The following is a 23,144-nucleotide window of genomic DNA, read 5'->3' on the forward strand; positions in this document are numbered from 1 at the left end:
CAGAGGATGAAGGCAAAAAGACACTTTTTTTTTTTTTTGAGACAGTTTCGCTCTTGTTGCCCAAGCTGGAGTGCAATGGTGCAATCTCGGCTCACTGCAACCTCCACCTCCCGGGTTCAAGTGATTCTCCTGCCTCAGCCTCCCAAGTACCTGGGGTCACAGGCGTGTGCCACCATGCCCAGTTCCCAGTTAATTTTTTTGTCATTTTTAGTAGAGACGAGATTTCACCATGTTGGTCAGGCTGGTCTCGAACTCCTGACCTCAAGTGATCCACCCACCTTGGCCTCCCAAAGTGCTGGGATTACAGGCGTGAGCCACTGCACCCGGCAAAAAGACACTCTTTTTGTGTTCTTCAATGCGGTAGCCACTAGACATGAGACTGTTTAAGTTTAAGTTAATTAAAAATTTAGCTCCTCAGATATACTAGGGATATTTCAAGTGCCATGTGCGCATGGCTAGTAATTATCACATTGCAAAACACAAATACAGAATATTCCTATTACTGCAGAAAGTTTCTACAGACTGAACTGCTCTAGATGCTGTCAATCATGGTAAAATGGATCACGTAAGTGTCATCTCAGACCTTGAGTCTTCAGATGATGATGTTATATCAGTGGTTCTTAATTTAGGTAATTTTGTCCCCCAAGGGACATCTGGCAGTGTATGGAAACATTTCTGGTTGCCACAACTGGGGAGCACTAATGGCAACTAGTGGATAGAGGGTAGGGACACTGCTAAACATCCTACAATGCACGAACCAGCCCTCAGCAACAAAAAGTATCCACCCGAAATGCTAATAATGGCAAGTTTGAGAAATCCTGCCCTAAATGAATTTTCTCCAACTCAACAATCAATGAACGAACATACTTCCAAGGAAAAAAATATGGTAATCTCATTGACAGTCATTACACGAGAATTACATCATTACCCAATATTCTGTGACAAGAATCCAAAACAATCTGTTTTGCTGAAACGACATGTGATATCATTCTTTCATCTTCTTTGATTTGTGTGTAAAAAATTTGCTTGATACAGTTCGTAAGTGGGCAAATGCTAAAGGTAGGTGTATATATAAAGTTAATGAAAAACTGTTTTGATGACTCTAATTGCCATTTATAAATCTAAAAATGAAAATGATTTATAACTACAAAGCAAAGAATATTCATCTTCTCTTCACCAATATTGTGTGCCACCAATGTTGTCAAAAGCATTGTGCTTTGCTGATGCTAGAGCAAGAAAAAGAACCAGAAGTAATAAGAAGACAGAAACCTGTTAAGGATGCATTTAATATCTAAAATCAGTATTGCATTTTGACAGTGGGAATGCAACAACCAGAAATAATGAGCTAGAACCTATAAGAATTATTTGAAATGTTAAATCAGGAGCTGGGCACGGTGGCTTATGCCCGTCATCCCAGCACTTTGGAGAGGCTGAGGTGGGAGGATCGCTTGAGCCCAAGGGTTCAAGACCAGCCTGTGCAACACAGACAAACCTTGTCTCTACAAAAAATGCAAAAATTAGCCAGGCATGGTGGCCCATGCTTATAGTCCCAGCTACCTGGGAGGCTGAGGTGGGAGGATTGCTTGAGCCCAGGAGGTGGAGGTTGCAGTGAGCTGCTATTGTGCTGCTGTACTCCAGCCTGGGCAACACAGCAAGACTCTGTCTAAAAAAAAAAAAGAAATAAAGAAATTGAAATCAGTATTTACAAATCAGAAGAAATACGCAAAGAGCATGGCCAGGCAAGGTGGCTCATGCTTGTAATCCCAGCGCTTAGGGAGGCTGAGGCAGGCAGATCGCTTGAGCTCAGGAGTTCAAGACCAGCCTGGATAACATGGTGAAACCCTGTCTCTACTAAAATACAAAAATTAGCTGGGTATGGTTGGTGTCTGTCTGTACCCCCAGCTACTCAGAGGGCTGAGGCTGGAGGACTGCTTGAGCCTGGGAGGCAGAGGATGGCGTGAGCCGAGATTGCGCAACTGCACTCCAGCCTGGGCAACAGAATGAGACCCTGCCTCAAAAAAAAAAAAAAAAAAAAAGGAGCAGGCTGTGAGCATTGGCTCATGCCTGTAATCTCAGCACTTTGGGAAGCCAAGGTGGGCCAGTCACCTGAGGTCAGGAGTTTGAGACCAGCCTGACCGGACCAACATAGAGAAACCCCGTCTCTACTAAAAATACAAAATTAGCCAGGCATGGTATGGTGGTGCACGCCTGTAATCCCAGCTACTTGGGAGGGTGAGGCAGGAGAGTTGCTTGAATCCGAGAGGTGGAGGTTGCTGTAAGCCAAGATCAAGCCATTGCACTCCAGCCTGGGCAACAAGAGCAAAACTCCATCTCAATTTAAAAAAAAAAAAAAAAAAAAAAAAAAAAGAACAAACGGCCACACTCTAGACTTGTGGTGTCTAACACAGTAGCCACTACCACAGTGGCTCCCTTACATTAACCATGTTACAAGAGCTCAAGACGAATGTGGTAAGTGGCTACCACATTGGAGAGAGCAGATAAAGAACACTTCCATCAGCACAGAAAGTTCTATCAGCTAGTGTTACTCTAGAAGAAATCTAATTAACTCAACATGTATTTATCAAGTGCTTACTATAAGGTTATCTTGATTTGATGCCATGTTATTTGATACATTAAAGTACAAAATAGCAGCTAACATTTACAGAGCACTTACTATACCCCAGGCACTATACTAAACACTTTTCTTTCAATGTATGTTAAATCATTTTATCTTTGCACTAACTCCCTGAGGTAGTGGTTATTATTTCTCTATTTTTTTAAAAAAGATGGGCTCTTGGGCCAGCCGTGGTGGCTCACGTCTGTAATCCTAGCACTTTGGGAGGCTGAGGCAGGCGGACTGCCTGAGCTCAGGAGTTCAAGACCAGCCTGGGCAACATAGTGAAACCCTGTCTCTACTAAAATACAAAAAAATAGCCAGGCGTGGCAGCGTATGCCTGTAGTCCCAGCTACTCGGGAGGCTGAGGCAGGAGAATTGCTTGAACCCGGGAGGTGAAGGTTGCAGTGAGCCGACATCGCACCACAGCACTCCAGCCTGGGTGACAGAGCAAGACTCCATCTCCAAAAAAAAAAAAAAAGATAGGGTCTTGCTATGTTGCCCAGGCTTGAACTTCTGGACTCAAGCAATTCTGCCTTATCCACCCAGGGAAGTGGAGCTACAGACAGGATGTTTCACACTGCTGCCAGTCGAACATCAAAACCACAAATCTGACAAGTTTTTTTTTGTTTTGTTTTGTTTTTTTTTTTCGAGATGGAGTTTTGCTCTTTTAGGCTGGAGTGCAGTGGCATGATCTCGGCTCACTCCAAGTGCAGTACAGTGGTGCAATCTCACTGCAAGTGCAGTGGCACGATCTTGGCTCACTGCAACCTTCACCTCCTGGGTTCAAGCGATTCTCCTGTCTCAGCCTCCTGAGTAGCTGGGATTACACACATGCACCACCATGCCTGGCTAATTTTTTGTATTTTTAGTAGACATGGGGTTTCACCATGTTGGCCAGGTTGGTCTCAAACTCCTGACTTCAGGTGATCCACCCGCTTCAGCCTCCCAAAGTGCTGGGATTACAGGTGTGAGCCACCATGCCCAGCCAAATTTTATACTGTGTGAATTCAAGCTAATTATTATAGCAAACAAAACCTTAAGATAACCCAGCCTCTATTTCCCTAGTCTCATTTCACACTACTCCCTTCCTCGTTTATTCATCCTTTTTCATTCAACAAATATTACTGAGCAACAAGGTGCCAAGCCCTGTACTAGACACACATAATCAAGGAAAAGCAAACAGGGTCCCTGAACAAATATACATTAGAGTCCAGCAAGAGAGACCAACGTTCATTAATCAATCACATAAATAAGGTGTTATAAAAGAACTACCAATAACTTGAGACCACCCTGGGCAATACAGCAAGATTTCGTCTCTACAAAAACATTGTAACATAGCCAGGTGTGGTGGCGTGCACCTGTGGTCCCACCTACTCGGGAGGCTAAAGGGGGAGGATCGCTTCAGCCCAGGAGTTTGAGGCTGCAGTGAGTCATGATCACACCACTGCATTCCAGCTGGGTTTTAGAGTAACTCCAAAAAGTAAAAAATAAAAAAAAAAAAATAAAAGAACTACACTGTTATAAAAGGACAGGTGAATCTCACCTTTCAGGCAGGCTAAGGAAGGCTTCCCTGAGAAACTGACTACTGAGAGAACTGAAGGATGAAGTGACAGGGAAGAAAAGCATTCCAGACAGAAGGACTAGTATATGAGAGGCCCTGTGACAGGACACAGGACACAAGTGGGAAGGGTTGCAAAAAAGCTAGTGTGGCTGATGAAGAGAAAAAGCGACTGGAAAAGAGTCAACAGAAGCTGGAAAGGCAGTAACTTATCCAAAGCCTCACAAGGTGCAAACATTTTTAAAGAAAAATGCTTTATATTTCACAACACTTAATGGCACTTTTCCCCTGCTTTTTGTGAACAAGAGGCCTTACATTTTCATTTTCACTGGGCCCTGCAAATTATGTAGGTAGCCCTGGCTGGACAACAAAGACAGTGGACAGAAACAGTCTTATGGCTCGGATACAAGGCAGAGGCCACCCACTCACTATACTGACCCTTCAGACCCACTAAGAAAGACAAAAAAGATGAGGATATGGAATGAAACACGGTCTCCATGGCCAAGCACGGTGGCTCATGCCTGTAATCCCAGCACTTTGGGAGGCCGAGGTGGGAGGATCACGAGGTCAGGAGTTCGAGACCAGTCTAGCCAACATGGTGAAACTCCCTCACATGGTGAAACCCCGTCTCTACTAAAAATACAAAAATTAGCCGGGCATGGTGGCACGTGCCTGTAATCCCAGGAACACAGGAGGCCAAGTCAGGAGAATTGCTTGAACCTGGGAGGCGGAGGTTGCGGAGGTTGCAATGAGCCTAAACGTGCATTGCGCCACTGCACTCCTGGCTGACAGGGTGAGACTCTGTCTCAAAAAAAAAAAAAAAGAAAGAAACATGGCCTCCTAAATTAGAACCTCCGTAGGTAAGGCAAAGGAAACTGCAGTTTTTTGTTTTGTTTTGTTTTTGAAACAGAGTTCGCTCTTGTTGCCCAGGCTGGAGTGCAATGGCATGATCTTGGCTCACTGCATTCTCCGCCTCCCGGGTTCAAGTGATTCTCCTGCCTCAGCCTCCCGAGTAGCTGGGAATACAGGCATGCGCCACCACACCAGCTAATTTTGTATTTTTAGTAGAGACAGGGTTTCTCCATGTTGGTCAGGCTGGTCTCGAACTCCCAACCTCAGGTGATCTGCCCGCCTCAGCCTCCCAAAGTGCTGGGATTACAGGTGTAAGCCACGGTGTCCAGCCAGAAATCTGCAGTTTTAATAATCACCCTAAGATTGGTTATGCATGTTCTAAACTCTGAAAAACCCTTCTCTAAAATATTGTCAAATTACAATGGACCTAATTTTTCCCATAATTACAAACAGAGAAAGAGTGAATCCCTATCTCTTTTTCAGAATAAAGTTTATTAGTTTTCTATTAGCTCTTTCTCACTCAAAAGACATTTTTCCTTTTATTTATTCACAAGGTTATATTATACTTAGCAGTGATTAAACAAATCTGTGGAAATGGAATGCCCTGCATTTGCATTTATAAGTCTATAAATGCAAAACCACAAACCTAGTCTTAGTCTGAACCATGATACAGCTTTGAACATTCTTCAACATAAAAATAATTGCAGGACATTCAAGGAAGTAGATTTTAAAAGTAGATTTTTTTTTTGGCCGGGTGTGGTGGCTCACGTCTATAATCCCAGCACTTTGGGAGGCCAAGGCAGGTGGATCACCTGAGGGTCAGGAGTTCAAGACCAGCCTGGCCAACATGGTAAAACCCCGTCTCTACTAAAAATACAAAAAATTAGCCAGGCATCATGGCAGGCACCTGTAAATCCCAGCTACTGGGGAGGCTAAGGCAGGAGAATCACTTGAACCCAGGAGGTGTAGGTTGCAGTGAGCCGAGATGGCGCCATTGCACTCCAGCCTGGGCAACAAGAGTGAAACTTCATCTCAAAGAAAAAAAAAAAAAAAGGTAGATTTTTTTAAAACACATGCAACATTCAGGCTGGGTGTGGTATCTCACGCCTGTAATCCCAGCATTCTGGAAGGCCGAGGCGAGCGGATCACCTGAGGTCAGGAGTTTGAGAACAGCCTGGTCAACATGGTAAAATACTGTCTCTACTAAAAACACCAAAATTAGCCAGGCATGGTGGCGTGCACCTGTAGTCCCAGCTACTCTAGAGGCTGAAGCAGGATAATTGCTTGAACCCGGGAGGCAGGGGTGGCAGGGAGCCGAGATTGCGCCACTGCACTCCAGCCTAGGCAACAGAGTGAGACTCCATCTCAAAGAAAAGAAAATAGAAATGCATGCAACATTCAAATTTACTAAAACGGAGTATTAATTTATGGTCTAAATTTTTATATTGTAAAAAATTCAAACTATATTAAAACTATATTAAGCACTCCTCCCATGTGCAATCTCATTCCCTATGCAGCCATTCTTAGAAGTTTAGTATAGGCCAGGCACAGTGGCTCACAGCTGTAATCCTAGCACTTTGGGAGGCTGAAGCTGGCAGATCACCTGTGATCAGAAGTTCAAAACCAGCCTGGCCAACAAGGTGAAACCCTGTCCCTACTACAAACACAAAAATTAGCTGGGTGTGGTGGTGCATGCCTGTAATCCTAGCTACTCGGGAGGCTGAGGAAGGAGAATCACTTGAACCTGAGAGGCAGAAGTTGCAGTGAGCCGAGATCGCACCATTGCACTCCAGCCTGGGTGACAGAGCAAGACTCTGTCTCAAAAAAAAAAAAAGAAGTTTAGTATAAGCCTTCCATTTCCGTTTCTATGCATATACAAATATATACAGAACTTTTTCTAGAAAACAGAAATGGGATCATATATTCTATTCTGCAATTTTTCGTCTTATTTTGAGTATCTTTCCATGTTCATTCAGATCTTCCCATTTAAAAAAAAAGCTATCACATTTTAGATATACCATATTTTTTAAGAGTTCCATAAAATTCCATTATAAAGAATACCAGTATATTAAATCAATTTGGTGTAACTGGACATTTACGTTGTTTCAATCTTCACTACAGCAAAGTACACTACAGTAAACATTCTTTGTGTATAAGCAAGTATTTCCATAAACTGAATAAATGGCCAGAAGTGAAATAGCTGGGGGTCAGCTATATATTGAAGGCTCTTGTATCGAAAACTTGTAGCATACTTCCCTATACCTTTACAATGTGAAATAACATTTTATTCTTAGTTCTGTTTCTAGACTATTCTAACTTTCTATTCTTTTCCTATGCCAATGCTATGTTTCAATTACTTTAGCTTCTGAATACATTGTAATAGTTGCTACATCAAGTCCCCAAACCCTTCACAGACTTCCAGATATATTTTCTAATCAATTAATTTTTCTCCCACCTCAGAAAAGGGTGAGGAGGAAAGAGAGATTTTGATTGACATTATATTCAATTTAGAGATGAATGAGGGAGAAATTGCCACCTTAACCGGATTGACCTTTCAGACCAAGGAGCATAGCCTTCATTTAATTCAGCTCTTTTATATTCTGCAAATAAGCTGTATCATGTTCTTCACAAAAATGGTGCATGTTTCTTATCAGTGCCCTATAATTTATTTCTACAGTTTTTCTTTCTAACAGAATGGGATCTTTTTTCCAATTTTAAGCTGATCACTGCTGATATAAAGGAAATCTTGCAACCCATTTATTTTTCTTACATCTGGTCATCTTTCCAAAGAACTAATGGTTCCAACAGTCTTAGTTATTTTGCTTAAACTTTTTTTCCGAAATGTCATATCACCTGCAAATAATCATTTTTTGGCCTTTCTTTCCAATATCTGCACTTATTCCCATTTTTTGTATTACTGTATCAGTTAGACCCTCCAGAAGGTATTAAATAACAGTTATATTAGGACTCCCGTTTTACTTCTGAGGATATCATCATTTAATACATGGTTTCAGATAACTATTTGTTATCATATTGAGAATTCCCTTCAATTCCTAGTTTATCCAATTGTTTTAATCATAAAATGCTGTTAAATTTTAACAACTGCCTTTTAGGCATCTATGGATGATTTCAAATGCCTTTTTGCATTTCTTCTCTGGATCACTGGCTATGTTCCAATTAGTGTGACACAAGTCCAACTGCAAATACACATTTAATTGAACTGAATTTGAAACATAAATTTCCTATTAATTAGCTTTTTTGAGAAAAAGAATGCTGTGCCAGTTTTCTAATATCTAGTGCCACCGCAGGTACTACAAGACAGGGCTGAAATAAACAAAAATGCATACTTACTATAATGCATCTTTCAAATAAGAAAAGTAGGTTCAATTAATTAAAATTTTCATTTTTATGACGTGTACTGTGGTTACAAAAAAATAAAGGCAGTGTACCTTACACATTGAAGGTCTCAGGAAATATCTACTACATAAATGCTCAAATATTCCTCAAACTCACTGTATTTCCCCAAACTATATTCTCTCAGACTATATTCCCCAAAATATATATCTCCACCTGGGATATTGCTTATCAAACTAGAAAACTCTAATCTATTTTTCATGATTCAGCTTAAGGGTTACCTATTCCAAGAAGCCCTTTCTCAGTCCCTATCTCAGCCTGAGATAGATGTTTGTACCTACTTCTATTATAACTTTACCAACCAACATTTGCTAATATTTTTGCCTTTCTCCACTCCTTGAAAAGAAGGTGCTTCTTCTGTCTCCTCAGCATACACAGCATAGTGTCTAACATGCTGTGTTTCTATATACTGAAGAAATGTTCTAAAACAAATCAATGGCCAGAAATTGGATTCCAGATCCAAACTAGCTACATGACAACAGGCAAATCATTTGCCATCTCTGAATATCAGGTTTTCATATTTATTTATTTATTTATTCTATTTTTTTGAGACAGAGTCCCGCTCTACAGCCCAGGCTGGAGTGCAATGGCACAATCTCTGCAACCTCTGCCTCCTGGGGTCAAGTGATTCTCCTGCCTCAGCCTCCCAAGTAGCTGGGATTACGTTATAGGTATGCACCACCTCGCCCAGATAATTTTTGTATTTTTAGTAGAGTCATGGTTTCGCCATGTTGGCCAGGCTGGTCTCGAACTCCTGACCTCAGGTGATCCACCTACTTTGGCCTCCCAAAGTGCTAGGATTACAGGTGTGAGCCACCATGCCTGGCCAGGTTTTCTCATTTATAAGGTTTAGGAATATCTCATCCTATTTACTTCACAGGACTGATATGAGAATGAAGACAAAAATTTTTCTATAGGACTACAGATGTGCAAGTATTTTAGAAGATATTAACCAGATTCCACTATAATAAAATCTATGAAAACCAGTCATGAATCTCGTTTATTAAAGTTGGATTTACACTCACTAAATCCATCCTGGTTTAAAAACAAATGTATGGGCCGGGTGCGGTGGCTCACGCCTGTTAATCCCAGCACTTTGGGAGACCAAGGTGGGAGGATAACCTGAGGTCAGGAGTTCAAGACTAGCCTGGCCAACGTGTTGAAACCTCATCTCTACTAAAAATACAAAAATTACCCAGGCGTGGTGCCAGGTACCTGCAGTCTCAACTACTTGGGAGGCTGAGGCAGGACAATCACTTGAACCTGGGAGGCAGAGGTTACAGTGAGCTGAGATTGTGCCATTGCACTCCAGCCTGGGCAAGAGTAAGACTGTCTCAAAAGAAAAAGGAAAAAAAAAACCTATGAAAATTACTTTTCTATAATGTATCAGTTAATATGTGTGCTCTGCACTATCTTATATTATTGCTACACACAATCACTAAGGACAATCCAAAACAACCTAATGAAGACAGGGCAACAAAACCAAGCAAATTCAAGACAATAAATAAAGCGCTCTTTGGACTGCAAATGAATGTGGCATCAATACTATAAGAACACTAAACTTTTCAATAATGTTGTCTCTAAAATCAAAACACCTCCTACATTTTAGTATACAAGAGGATGTGCATAGGTCATACACAATTACCATACCATATCATGTAAGAAACTCACCTGGGCACAGTAGCTTACGCCTATAATTCCAGCACTTTAGGAGGCCAAGGCAAGAGTATCACTTGAGCTCAAGACCAGCCTGGGCAACACAGTGAGATCCTCTCTACAAAAAAATATTTTTAAAAAATTACCCATTCAAGGCTGCAGTGAGCCATGATCATGCCACTACACTCCAGCTGGGACAACAGAGACCCTGTCTCAAAAGAAAGGGAGGGGATCGGGGGGACTTAAGTATCAATGCACGGTTGATGTCCATGGGTGGAGGCGGTTCCTGGAACTAACCTCTCATGGACACCGAGGGACAACTGTACTACTTTATCTGGCAGCTTATCCAATAATCTAAATTGATTGAATATAGATGTACCATATTTAGACATTTTCCATCAAGTAATAAAATGTAACATTTATAGTATATGTTGACTAAGAACCAACATGGTTGAGTAAAAAAAGTAAAAAAAAAAAAAAAAGAGTAAAGGTTTTGAAAGGGGAGTCTGGTGATCTCAGCCTGGATCAGTTATATCATGAATTTGCTCTGTGACCTACCTTGGGCAAGTCACTTCTACCTCTTTGAACCTCAGTTTCCCCATCTGTAGCATAGAAGGGAGAATGCTTAGACTTGATTCTTATTTTTCAGTTTCTAGTCTCTCAGAGACGGTGATAAAAGCTCTAGACCCTATTACTAAAAATGTACATTTACACCAAAAAATTTGTTACAATTTCCTTTTGATATTCATCCTAGACTCCCTAAGACTTCTGTACCAAAAGATCTAAGATTCTTCTATGTTCTAAAATTCTATGCTGATTTCCATAAAACAACTATATGAGTTACCTAATGAAAAATTAAGCAAAAATAATTATGAAATACATCACTATTTGCATTTTGAATCTCAAAGCATATTAACAGTTAAAATACAGCAATTTTCCATAAGATATATTCAGACCCACAGATGGATAAATGCTAAGATCACTCTGTTTAAAATATGTAGCTTAATGCTTAATAATTGACGGAGCATTAACAACCTTAATTAGCCAAAGATGAATTAATTTACCTCCTTTCTGGTCCCAGTATCCTACAGCTTAAGAACCACAGACTGGTAACAGACAAACCAGAGTTTGAGTCTCTACCCCTTGCTATGTAAATTTGTGTAGATTACTTAGCATCTACATGTTGGAGTTTCCTTAGCCTGTAAAATGAAAACGAAAGTAACACGCCAGGTGCAGTGGCTCACGCCTGTAATCCAAGCACTTTGGGAGGCCGAGGCAGGTGGATCACGAGGTCAGGAGTTCGAGACCAGCCTGGCCAACATGGTGAAACCCTGTCTCTATTAAAAATACAAAATTAGCTGGGTGTGGTGGTACATACCTGTAGTCCCAGCTACTCGGGAGGCTGAGGCAGGAGAATCGCTTGAACCCGGGAGGCGGAGGTGGCAGTGAGCCAAGATCGTGCCACTGCACTCCAGCCTGGGCAACAGAGTGAGACTTGGTCAAAAAAAAAAGAAGATGAAAGTAATAATACCTACCTCACAGAGTTACTGGAGATAAAAAGTAATATATGTAAAGGGCTTGGCACAGCGCCTCCAACATAGTATGTACTCAATAAATGGTAGCTATTAATAATTTGGAATATAGCTTTCATATTAAGAAATAATACAATAACTACTCTACACATCTTTGGTACAAATTTCTGAATACTTAAGTGGAAATTTCCAAAAAGTCATTTCCTTTTTTTTTTTTTGAGATGAAGTCTCACTCTGTCGCCCAGACTGGAGTGCAGCAGCACGATCTCGGCTCACTCCAACCTCTGCCTCCTGGTTCAAGCGATTCTCCTGTCTTCGCCTCCAGAGTAGCTGAGATTAAAGGTGCCAGCCATCACGCCCGGCTAATTTTTATATTTTTAGTAGAGATGGGGCTTCACCGTGTTGGCCAGCCTGGTCTTGGGCTCCTAATCTTTAGTGATCCGCCCACCTCGGCCTCCCAAAGTGCTGGGATTACAGGAATGAGCCACCGCACCCGGCTGTAATTTCCTGTTTTTAATAACATGACACTTTTTTCAATACTACTCTCCTCTGAAAAGATAAAAAGCATTTAGACAAATTATTTATACAACATATGACAGATGGGGTAGAGTGGAAAGACACACAGCTTTAGAGCCAGACAGAACTGAGTTCAAGACCTAATTCAGCCATTTAGTAATCGTGTAACCCGGGCCACTTACAGTTTCTCAACCTTGTAAAGCAAAGCTGTTGCAAGAATTAATAAAATATGTAAAGTATGTAAAGCATCAAGCCCAATATCTAGCACTCAATAAACGGTACTTACTACTATTCTTCTCACCTACTCCTTATAGGGGATAAAAGCAGCTTTGCCAGGGAAGAGGGAAGATATTGGAAAACACAAATACTAGTTTATATTAAGCCAGTGACGAAGGACACTGATTTTACCTGATCAGTGTAAGAACTACAGCCGTGTTTTGGGTGGCATACTCCTTCCAGAATCCAATGAAAACGGAGCCCCTAGCTCCTAGGAAAATTTCAGGAATTTTACAAAACGCTCTATGTCAGGGATTTTTAAGAATCTTTTATTAAGGGGAATACTAGCTAGTTACTTCTGCTTAATTTGCAAAAGTGTGAAAACCTTCACTAGTCTGTTTTGTGACAAAACGTACATTAAGTTAATATTCATAATGAAGCAAGTAAATCCTGCTTTTATTAGACTTCTCGATTTCTAAAGAAACAAAAATATCTGGTGTAAAATATTAGAACTACAAACTACGCTAGAATTAGTTCGAATATTCTCAAATGTGATGCTCAAACACCCTAACACCAAACCAAAAGGAAAAAAGTCCAAAAAGGTAACAAAGCTGGCTGTATCCAATTCTTAGAAAGTCTGAATCAATCCAGGTATCAAATGAACCTCTAACTTCCCAAAACATCTACAAACACCGAAGTCATAATTTGCAAAAACAAAGCTGAGCCAGCAAATAGAAACACTGTTTACTAACTGAACGTAGTTTATCCTTACTTCTCCTCCTTGCATGTAATACTTTTATCCTTTGACTCGGCCTTCTCAAATTCCCTTAGTAAACAATCTCATCAAACTGCTTATTGTAGTGTAAGCATGAAGTCAAAGAGTAGCATAGACTCAGTTCTCCAAATCGCGGGAGCTTTAAGGAGCTTAGCACTAGACCAAGTTTTGCCCCAATGACCTTGGTCTCAACGATTCCCCTCCCTCCCTCCAGCCGGCCCGGCCCTTCCACGTGCTGCCGGCTGCAATTACTCCAGAGGTGGCTGCATGTCAGGGAAGCGCTAGAGGATGCGAATGCACAGGAAACAAGGGTTGCTAACAGCACCCAGGCTGTGCCATCCAATCCCTCCCGACACCAACTCCCCAAGAGCGCTCACACAGCCCTACAAATTTCCCCTACCGAAGCCCTGCGGGGATAACCCCAACTCCTTCCCGGCGCCTTGCTCTGCGACCCAGTCTGTGGGGCAGGGTGTAAGGTGAAGAAATTCTCTTTGCTACACCACTATATTCCCACGCCCGACTGGGGTGCTGGGCAGCCAGGGGAAGGGGACAGCTCCTGGAAGGAGGGGACGACGGCAGGAGGAAAGTAGGCTGAAGAATCCTGCGCCACGCCACCGCCACCTCCTCCTCCACTTCCAGGCTCCCTGCAGGCCCTTGCCAGTCGCCAGCCCAGCGAGCAGCAAGGCCTGGAGTGGCAGGGCCGACCGGGGGCCCGCGAATCCCGGGGTCTGAGGGGCGCGGCGTCCTCACCATCAGAACTTTAGCCGCGTTCTCCAGCTGAGCGATCACTTCTGGGGGCCCCAGCGCCGCCGCCATCATGGTCTCTCTTCAATGACGCGCCATGCGCTGCATTCTGGGAGCGGGCGCCGCGGCCGGCCAATCGCCGCCGCGACCCCGGAGCCTCACGCGCTCCCAGGGCCGTCGCAGCCGCTGTCGACACCGGCGTCGCGGCCTCGGCGGGTCTGGCCGGGCTGCCGGGTTCCGGGTGGCTGGGAGGGGACTAGTGTGAGCCCGGCCGCCGCGCTGGGGCGGGGGCGGCCGCAGCCGGCACCGGGCGAGGCCGAGGCGGTCTGCCCAGACTGCTGCAGCCGCGCGCCCCGCTAAGCTCCCAGCCCCGCGCATGCGTGGTGTCCGGCGCCCCGGCCTCGCGGTGCCCCCGGCCCTCTCCCCACTACCCTAGTACAGCCCGCCCGGGGACCCGCAGATCCACGACGCCAGTTCGCTCCCTCCGTTCTCAGCCCTGCACACCGCCTCCCCTGGCTCCTCCTTGCCCTTCCACGCTCCAGCGCCGTGCAGGATTTCCTAAACTTGGAATCGCTCTTCCCGCTTTCCCCTCCTCAGAGCGCACCTCCTTTCAAAGTATCTCTGTCTCCTGCTTCTCTGTTCCTTCTTGCCATGGGAGAACATTCCAGGATAGAACGCTTCGTTTTCTTTCTTTCTTTTTTTTTTTTTTTGGAGACAGGGTCTCACTCTATCGCCCAGGATGGAGTGCAATGGCCCTATTTCGGCTCACTGCAACCTCCGTCTCCCGGGTTCAAGCGATTCCCCTGCCTCAGCCTCCTGAGTATCTGGGATTACAGGCGCCCGCCACCACGCCCGGCTAATTTTTGTACTTTTAGTAGAGACGAAGTTTCACCATGTTGGCCAGGCTGGTCTCGAACTCCTGACCTCAGGTGATCCGCCCGCCTCGGTCTCCCAAAGTTCTGGGATTACAGGCGTGAGCCACCGCCCCCGGCCGAACGCTTCGTTTTCATAATGGAGGGCTTTGGCCTTCTGCAGGACAATCATCCAAATGTATCTGGGCAGCGGGTCGCTAGGAGACCCTAGGAGGAAAACCCGTCTTTGGCTCTTGCCGTTTTCACTCTTTAAGGGCTGGCTCACATAGGAGAGGGAGAAAGCAGGGACAGGAAAGCCTGACCTTGACTACCTGGCTTCTCAAATGCAGTAAGATGAGCTTTGTCGGCCAGGCGCTGTGGCTCATGCCTGTAATCCCAGCACTTTGGGAGGCCAAGGCAGGCCTCATTTTAGCTCAGGAGTTCGAGACCAGCCTGGGCAACATCGTGAGACCCTGTCTCTACCAAAAAAAAAAAAAAAAAAAGCCCGGTGTGGTGTCTTGCGCCTGTGGTCCGAGCTTCTCGGGAGGCTGAAGCGGAAGGATTGCCCAGGAGGTCGAGAGTGCAGTGGGGCGAGATCACACCACGGCACTCCAGCCTGGGTGAGAGGCTGATCCTGTCTCAGGAAAAAAAAAAAAAAGGACAAAAATCAGCATTGTCGTGTTTGTGGAATCCGTGTTGAAAGGCATATTAGAGTATCAAGTAATTAACCTTCCCTCCGGTGCTCCAGTTGCCTCTAGGACATTCCACGCAAGTGGTCCTGACAGCTGTTTCAGTATTCAAACCAGTGCTGTTAGGTTGTTCGGATCAGGGGTTTGTTTCGTTTTGAGCTGACATCTACGGTCTACATTCCTATAACTTCTTTTTGGTGCTTATTCAGCCTTCTGAAACAACACAGACAGTCAAATTCGTTTCAGTATTTTTAAGTTTATTTTTTGTTGAAATCTTCCTGTTTCTTATTCCTAGTTATAAGAAAGCCATACTGTTGAGGTTTTATGTCACTGCAACAGAATGTCTGTGTGTGTGTGTGTGTGTGTGTGTGTGTGTGTGTGTGTGTGTGTGTGTGTTATGGAGTCTCTCTCTGTCACCCAGGCTGGAGTGCCATGGTGCCATCTCAGCTCACTGCAACCTCTGCCTCCTGGGTTCAAACGATTCTCGTGCTTCAGCCTCCAGAGTAGCTGGGATTACAGGTGTGCACCACTACACCTGGCTAATTTTTGTATTTTTAGCAGAGACGGGGTTTCACCATGTTAGCCAGGCTGGTCTTGAACTCCTGACCTTAGGCGATCCGCTGCCTCAGCCTCCCAAAATGCTGGGATTACAGGCATGAGCCACTGTGCCCGGCCACACGGAACTGCATTATTAGCTCCGTTGGAAAATATGTTGTTTCTTGTACTTGAAGTCTCTGCAACTTGAAGTAGAGAAAATGAATTAACAAGGTTTGTATTGCTTGAGAAACTAAGTAAGTTTTATTTTATTACTGAAGTTTAAAGTGAGCCAAAATGCAGTTAATGGTCCTTTTTAGTAACTAAGTGTTTATCATAGGGCCTGACATATAGTAGGCACTCAGTAAATATTTGACCAAGTATAGCAATCTACAAGAAAATTACAAAATGATTCTAGTTGCTGCAAAGAGTAATTACCAAAGATCAATGATATTGTGCAAATATGTAGATAAACAGTTTGTGACAGTAAATGTTTGAGGCTTATAATGCTTCAGATTGGGCCTTGGGTTCCAAAGTATTTATTTTGTGCAATTACATTAGAACTTTGCAACTACACGTGTTTTAAGAAAGAGGGCCAGGTGCAGTGGCTTACGTGTGTAATCCCAGCACTTTGGGAGGCCCAGGTGGGCGGATCACCTGAGATCAGGAGTTTGAGACCAGCTTGACCAACATGGAGAAACCCCATGTCTACTAAAAAAAAAAAAAAAAATACAAAATTAGCCAGGTGTGGTGGCACATGCCTGTAATCCCAGCTACTCGGGAAGCTGAGGCAGGAGAATCACTTGAACCCAGGAGGCGGAGGTTGCGGAGAGCCAAGATCGCGCCACTGCACTCCAGCCTGGGCAACAAGAGTGAAACTCCATCTCAAAAAAAAAGAGAAGGCCAGGCGCAGTGGCTCATGCCTGTAATCCCAACACTTTGGGAGGCCAAGGCAGGCAGATCACTTGAGGGCAGGCATTCAAGACCAGCCTGGCCAACATGGTGAAACCCTGTCTCCACTAAAAATTAGCCAGGCGAGGTGGCACAGGACTGTAATCTCAGCTACTCAGGAGGCTGAGGCAGGGGAATCGCTTGAACCTGGGAGCCAGAGGTTGCAGTGAGCTGAGATTGTGCCACTGCACTGCAGCCTGGGCAACAGAGAGAGACTCCATCTCAAAAAAAAAAAAAGAAAGAAAAGAAAGAAGTGTTGGATGCGGTGGCTCTCGCCTGTAATCCCAGCACTTTGTGAGGCTAAGGCAGGAGGATTGCTTGAGCCCAGGAGTTCAAGACCAGCCTGGGCAACATAGCGAGACCCCATCTCTACAAAACAATAAAAATTAAAAAATTTGCCAAGTGTGGTGGTGCATGCCTATGGTCCCAGTGACTCAGGAGGCTGAGGTGGGAGGATCACTTGAGCCAGGGAGATAGAGGCTGTAGTGAGCTGTGATTGTGCCACTACACTCCAGCCCGGACCACAAAGTGAGACCCTGCCTCTAAACACAAACAAACAAAAAATAGGCCAGGTGCAGTGGCTCGTGCCTGTAATCCCAGAACTTCCGGAGGCCAAGGCAGGTGGATCACTTGAGGTCAGGAGTTCAAGACCAGCCTGGCCAATGCGGTAAAACTCCATCTCTATTAAGTACAAAATTTAGCCAGGCATGGTGGTGCGTGCCTGTAATCCCAGCTACTCAGGAGGCTGAGGCAGGAGAATCGCTTGAACCCGGGAGGCGGAGGTTGTAGTGAGCTGAGATTGCACCACTGCACTCCAGCCTGGGTGACGGAGTGAGACTACATCTCAAAAAAAAAAAAAAAAGGCCAGGCACAGTGGCTCACGCCTGTAATCCCAGCACTTTGGGAGGCCGAGGCGGGTGGATCACCTGAGTTTGGGAGTTCAAGACCATCCTGGCTAACACGGTGAAACCCCGTCTCTACTAAAAAATTAGCCAGGCGTGGTGGCGGGCGCCTGTAGTCCCAGCTACTCGGGAGGCTGAGACAGGAGAATCACTTGAACCCAGAAGGCAGAGGTTGCAGTGAACCGAGATCGCACCACTGTACTCCAGCCTGGGCGACAGAGACTCCATCTCAAAAAATAAATAAATAAATGAAAATAAAAATAAAAGGGAAGGGATATATTTTTATCAAATGTGAGGATTAATTTGCTTCCTTTCAAATTAACAGTATTTTGAATTTTGAGACTTTATGAAGTGAGGTATAGACATCTCACATAATGAAGCCATGAATTTCAGGGCAGAGCTGAAATTGTAGGATCTCAATGTTGGAAAACACCCTAGAATTTGCCTATCAGTTAACTTTCCTCCAATGCCTGACTCTTGTTATTCCTTGATTTATTATTCAATAACAACACTCTCCTGGGGCAGAGGTGGAGAGGGTAATTGCAGCCTTGTCATACGCTTTTTTTTTTTTTTTTTTTTTTGAGACGGAATCTCCCTCTGTTGCCAGGCTGGAGTGCAGTGGCGCAATCTTGGCTCACTGCAACCTCTGCCTCCCAGGGTCAAGTGATTCTCCTGTCTCAGTCTCCCAAGTAGCTGGGACTACAGGTGCATACCACCGCGTTTGGCTAATTTTTGTTTATTTATTTATTTATTTTTTGATACGGAGTCTCACTCTGCCACCCAGGCTGGAGTGCAGTGGTGTGGTCTCGGCTCACTGCAACCTCCGCCACCCGGGTTCAAGCGATTCCCCTGCCTCCGCCTCCTGAGTAGCTGGGACTACAGGCGCGCACCACCACACCTGGCTAATTTTTTGTATTTTACTAGAGATGGAGTTTCACCATGTTGGCCAGGATGATCTTGATCTCCTGACCTCGTGATCTGTCCACTTCGCCCTCCCAAAGTGCTGGGATTACAGGTGTGAGCCACCGCGCCCTGGCCATATGCTCTTTTGCTTGTTTGTTTGTTTGTTTGTTTGTTGAGATGGAGTTTCGCTCTTGTTGCCCAGGCTGGAGTAAAATGGTGTGATCTTGGCTCACTGCAACCTCTGTCTCCCGGGTTCAAGCGATTCTCCTGTCTCAGCCTCCCAAGTAGCTGGGATTACAGGCGCCCACCACCATGCCTGGCTAATTTTTGTATTTTTAGTAGAGACCGGGTTTCATCATATTGATCAGGCTGGTCTTGAACTCCTGACCTCAGGTGATCCGCCTGCCTCAGCCTCCCAAAGTGCTGGGATTACAGGCATGAGCCACCGCGCCCAGCCCATATGTTCTTTTTTTTAAATAAAGATGGGGTCTCGCTATGTTGCCAACACTGATCTTGAACTCCTGGCCTCAAGCAATCCTCCTGCTTTGGCCTTCTAAAGTGAAGATTACAGGCATGAGCCACCACACCTGGCCCATGTGCTCTTTAGATCCTAAAATAGAAGAGGAGGAGAATGTTGTTCAAATTCAAATAATTTCTCACTAGGCATGAAAGAAATGTTTATAGTTTAGAAAAAGGTAGATGCCTGGTTAAAATGTTCCTGAAACAAGAACATCTTACAAATAGATCCCCCTGCTTTTGGAGTATTCCTTTTACAACTGTGATGCTATGGGCTCCAAAATCATTCCTACTTATTTTTCACAAAAAGTGATCTGTTGAGTGAGTATATTATATATTTTTCCTTGGAAACATAGGGTTGTTTGGTTTTGTGGGTCTTTTAAAATGGAAACCAGTGGGATTTGCCTTATAACCAACTTTATATTATCTGTTTTTCCTAAGTTAGTGGCTCTCCAGGAACTTTTGTAAAACAAAAATATAGTTACTGCTGACATACTGGTACAAAGGAAAAGCCAACAGTTGTGCATAACAGATAGTGATACTTTAAAACTAGAAGAGATATAGAGCTGATACAGTCTTAAGATGTTGGAACTGAAAATACATTAAGGATTCTGTTTTTCAGATGAAAAAATTAAGACCCAGAGAAATTAAGTAATCCATGACCAAGACAGTCACCTGTCTTGCAGTTAGACATCTTTTGTGGTAAAGTGGACAAAGGCTGGAATTCACATCAGAAGAACTGGATTTGTATTGCATCTCTGCTTCTTATGAACAGTGTTTATTGAGTAAATAACGTCTCAGGACCTCAGTTTGACCCTGTATAAAGTGGAAATTATCACAAGGGCGTGAGATTCAAGGTAGATAATACACTTGAGATAACTTTGTAAAAATGTAATGTCTATGAATGCAAGGTAATACTGTTATGATAGTGTGGCAGTTGATTGAGTACTTACCTGGCACAGTGTTTGATGCTATAAGAGTCACTGGAATTGAAGTCATGGCCTTTGCTTCCTGAGAATTTGAGTTCTAGTTGAAAAGATGAGACTAATGCATTTAAAAGAATAGCAGTTAATTCATTTTCTGTTACTTCCCTCACTTTTTTCCAACTGTACTGTAAAAAAAATTGGTCTTTGTCTCTGATTCCTTATTCCTGGCACAGAACACCTAAAACCCTTGGAATTTCCTGAGTGGTAGAAATCTTTTTTGTTAGTTTCAACAAGCCACTTTCAATCATACCTGAGCTGATGAGGTAACTTAGGGTGGGTTCCCTAGATAGCCTCAGAATGGGTTGGTCGCCAGAAAGCACAAGTGATTAGACGGTTGGAACTTTCTGCCCCATTGGCCTCTGGGGAGCAGCAGGGGTGCTGGTGACTGAGTTCTCAAAACTGCAACAATGAGATTCAAGATTCACTGAGCTTCCGGGATGGTGAATGCATGTATGTGCAGGGACACATCCCAATACGGGGGATAGAGGCTTCTGCACTTGGGACCCTTCTGGACCTCACTGTGTGTACCACTTCATCAGCCTGTTCATTCTTTGTAATAAACTGGTAAATTTAAGCTTCCTGAGTTCTGGAGTTCTAGCAAATTATCAAATGTAAGCAGGAGATCATGAAACCCCCAAATTATAACCAGTGGATCAGCAGTATGAGTGTTCCCCAGGATTTGTGACTAGCATTTGAACTGAAGACAGTCTTGTGGGACTGATTCTTTAATTTGTGGGGTATGCAGTAACAGTGAATAGTGTCAGAATTGAATTGAACTGTAGGACACTCATTCATTTGTTTTAGAGAATCACACACCAACATATGGATTGTTGGTATATGCAAGAAGTTGATACAAATAGTAAATAGTCTAATCAGTTTGAGACTACTACAATAATGGTAGTTAATGTTTACACCACAACTACCATATGAAGAACATTTTCATCTATTAACTTATTTAATCCTCACAACAACCCTGTGAGATGAATACTACTATTTATCCCAAATTTCAGATGAAAACTTTTAGGTGTACAACAGTTCAGTAACTTGCTTCAGAAATAGTGGAAATGGGATTTGTTATTTTTTTGTTTTTTTTTTTGAGACGGAGTCTCGTTCTGTTGCCCAGGCTGGAGTGCAGTGGCGCGATCTCGGCTTACTACAAGCTCCACCTCCCAGGTTCACGCCATTCTCCTGCCTGAGCCTCCTGAGTAGCTGGGCCTACAGGCACCCGCCACCATGTCCAGTTAATTTTTTGTATTTTTAGTAGAGATGGGGTTTCACCATGTTAGCCAGGATGGTCTTGATCTCTGACCTCGTGATCTGCCTGCCTCTGCCTCCCAAAGTGCTGGGATTACAGGCGCGAGCCACCGCACCCGGTGGAAATGGGATTTGAAATCACACAATTTCTTTTCTAATCATGGTGAAATAAAACTAGAAATTAATGGCATAAGGAAAATGGAAAATTAGTACATATGTGGAAATTAAACAACACACTGTAACTTTTTTTTCTATTTTTTCCCCTTTTTTTTGCTTTTTTTTTATTTTTTATTTTTTTTTTATTGGGCAGTCCCTGGCCGGGCATGGTGGCTCACACCTGTAATCCCAGCACTTTGGGAGGCCGAGATGGGCAGATCACTTGAGGTCAGGAGTTTGAGACCAGCCTGGCCAACATGGTGAAAACTCATCTCTACTAAAAATACAAAAAAAGTTAGCTGGGCACGTTGGCGCGGGCCTGTAGTCCCAGCTACTCCAGAGGCTGAGGCAGGAGAATCGCTTGAACCCGGGAGGCAGAGGTTGCAGTGAGCTGAGATCGCACCACTGCACTCTAGCCTGGGCAACAGGGCAAGACTCCATCTCAAAAAAAAAAAAAAAGAAAAAACTTGGGCAGCCCCCAAACAAGAATAGACTCTGAGAGACTCCCAAATGACACACTTTTAAACAACCAAAGAGTCAAAGAAGAAATCACAAGGGAAATTAGAAAATATCCTGAGATAAATCAAAATAAAAACACAACATACCAAAAGTTATGGGATGCAGCAAAAGCAATACTAAGAGGAAATTTATTTATAAATGTTGGGAGCCGAAAAGACCAAAGGGATCGTGACCAACTCAGCATTCCACTGGAGGCTATATGATCAAACAGCCAACTGTTTATCATGAATGCAGGATGTGGGCAGACTCAGCGACTGTGCCTACCGCCAGAAGGTTTGCTGAGGGCAATCACTCCCTGGTGCTGTGCTCATTGAGGTTATCTACTGGGACATCTAGAGCTTATTGTTTGAAGAATGCAGTCTTGCAAGCCAGCTGTAAATCAAGCTGCTGACCAACCACTGCCTCCTCCCTGTGTCCTTTACTCAATAAAATGCGAAGGGCTCTAAAGCTCAGGGCCCTTGTTCACTAGAAGCAAGGACCGCCTCCTCCCAACCCCTTCTTCCAAATATACTCTTTTGCCTTTATCTTTATTCCCAAGTTCGTCATCCTTTGTTCAGTCCAACAGGGATAGGGTCCACAGCAACAACAAACACATTTAAAAAGAAGAAAGTTGTCAAGTCAACAACCTAACATTATACCTTAAGGAACTAGAAGAAGAAGAACAAACTAAACCTAAAGCTAGCAGAAGGAAAAAAATAAACATTAAGCAGAGATAAATGAAATCGAGAATGGGAACCAATAGAGAGAATCAATAAAACCAAGAATTTGTTCTTTGAAAGGATCAACAAAATTGACAAACTTAACTAGATTAAGAATAAAAAAGAGATAGGCTGGGTGGGCGTGGTGGCTCATGTCCGTAATCCGAGCACTTTGGTAGGCTGAGGCAGGAGTTTGAGACCAGCCTGACCAACATAGTGGCCAAATCCCATTTCTACCGAAAATACAAAATTAGCTGGGTGTGGTGGCAGGTGCCTGTAGTCCCAGCTACTCGGGAGGCTGAGGT

At 43.8% G+C, this 23,144-nt stretch overlaps 1 protein-coding gene across 4 annotated transcripts in view, besides 2 other annotated features; it reads right to left on the reverse strand.

Annotated features, from left to right (window-relative positions):
- The window catches only part of XPO4 (exportin 4), a 125,446-nt gene extending 111,455 nt beyond the window's left edge, over nt 1–13,991 (reverse strand). For 3 of the 4 annotated variants that reach the window (NM_001372061.1, XM_047430537.1, XM_047430541.1), the window contains exon 1: nt 13,887–13,991. In NM_001372061.1, the coding sequence (NP_001358990.1) occupies nt 13,887–13,955 (69 nt within the window). In that variant the 5' untranslated portion in view covers nt 13,956–13,991. The remainder of the gene's footprint in view (nt 1–13,886) is intronic. The other variant, NM_022459.5, reaches the window with a different exon arrangement.
- Nucleotides 13,726–13,775: an enhancer, noted in NCBI's record as "active region_7427". NCBI's record gives its function as "activates an Ori minimal core promoter by ATAC-STARR-seq in GM12878 lymphoblastoid cells {active_cell/tissue: GM12878}" and the evidence as "EXISTENCE:reporter gene assay evidence [ECO:0000049][PMID:35858748]".
- Nucleotides 13,986–14,365: a silencer, noted in NCBI's record as "silent region_5158". NCBI's record gives its function as "represses an Ori minimal core promoter by ATAC-STARR-seq in GM12878 lymphoblastoid cells {active_cell/tissue: GM12878}" and the evidence as "EXISTENCE:reporter gene assay evidence [ECO:0000049][PMID:35858748]".

This window comes from Homo sapiens, chromosome 13, assembly GCF_000001405.40.
Source record: "Homo sapiens chromosome 13, GRCh38.p14 Primary Assembly".
Taxonomy (NCBI): domain Eukaryota; kingdom Metazoa; phylum Chordata; class Mammalia; order Primates; family Hominidae; genus Homo; species Homo sapiens.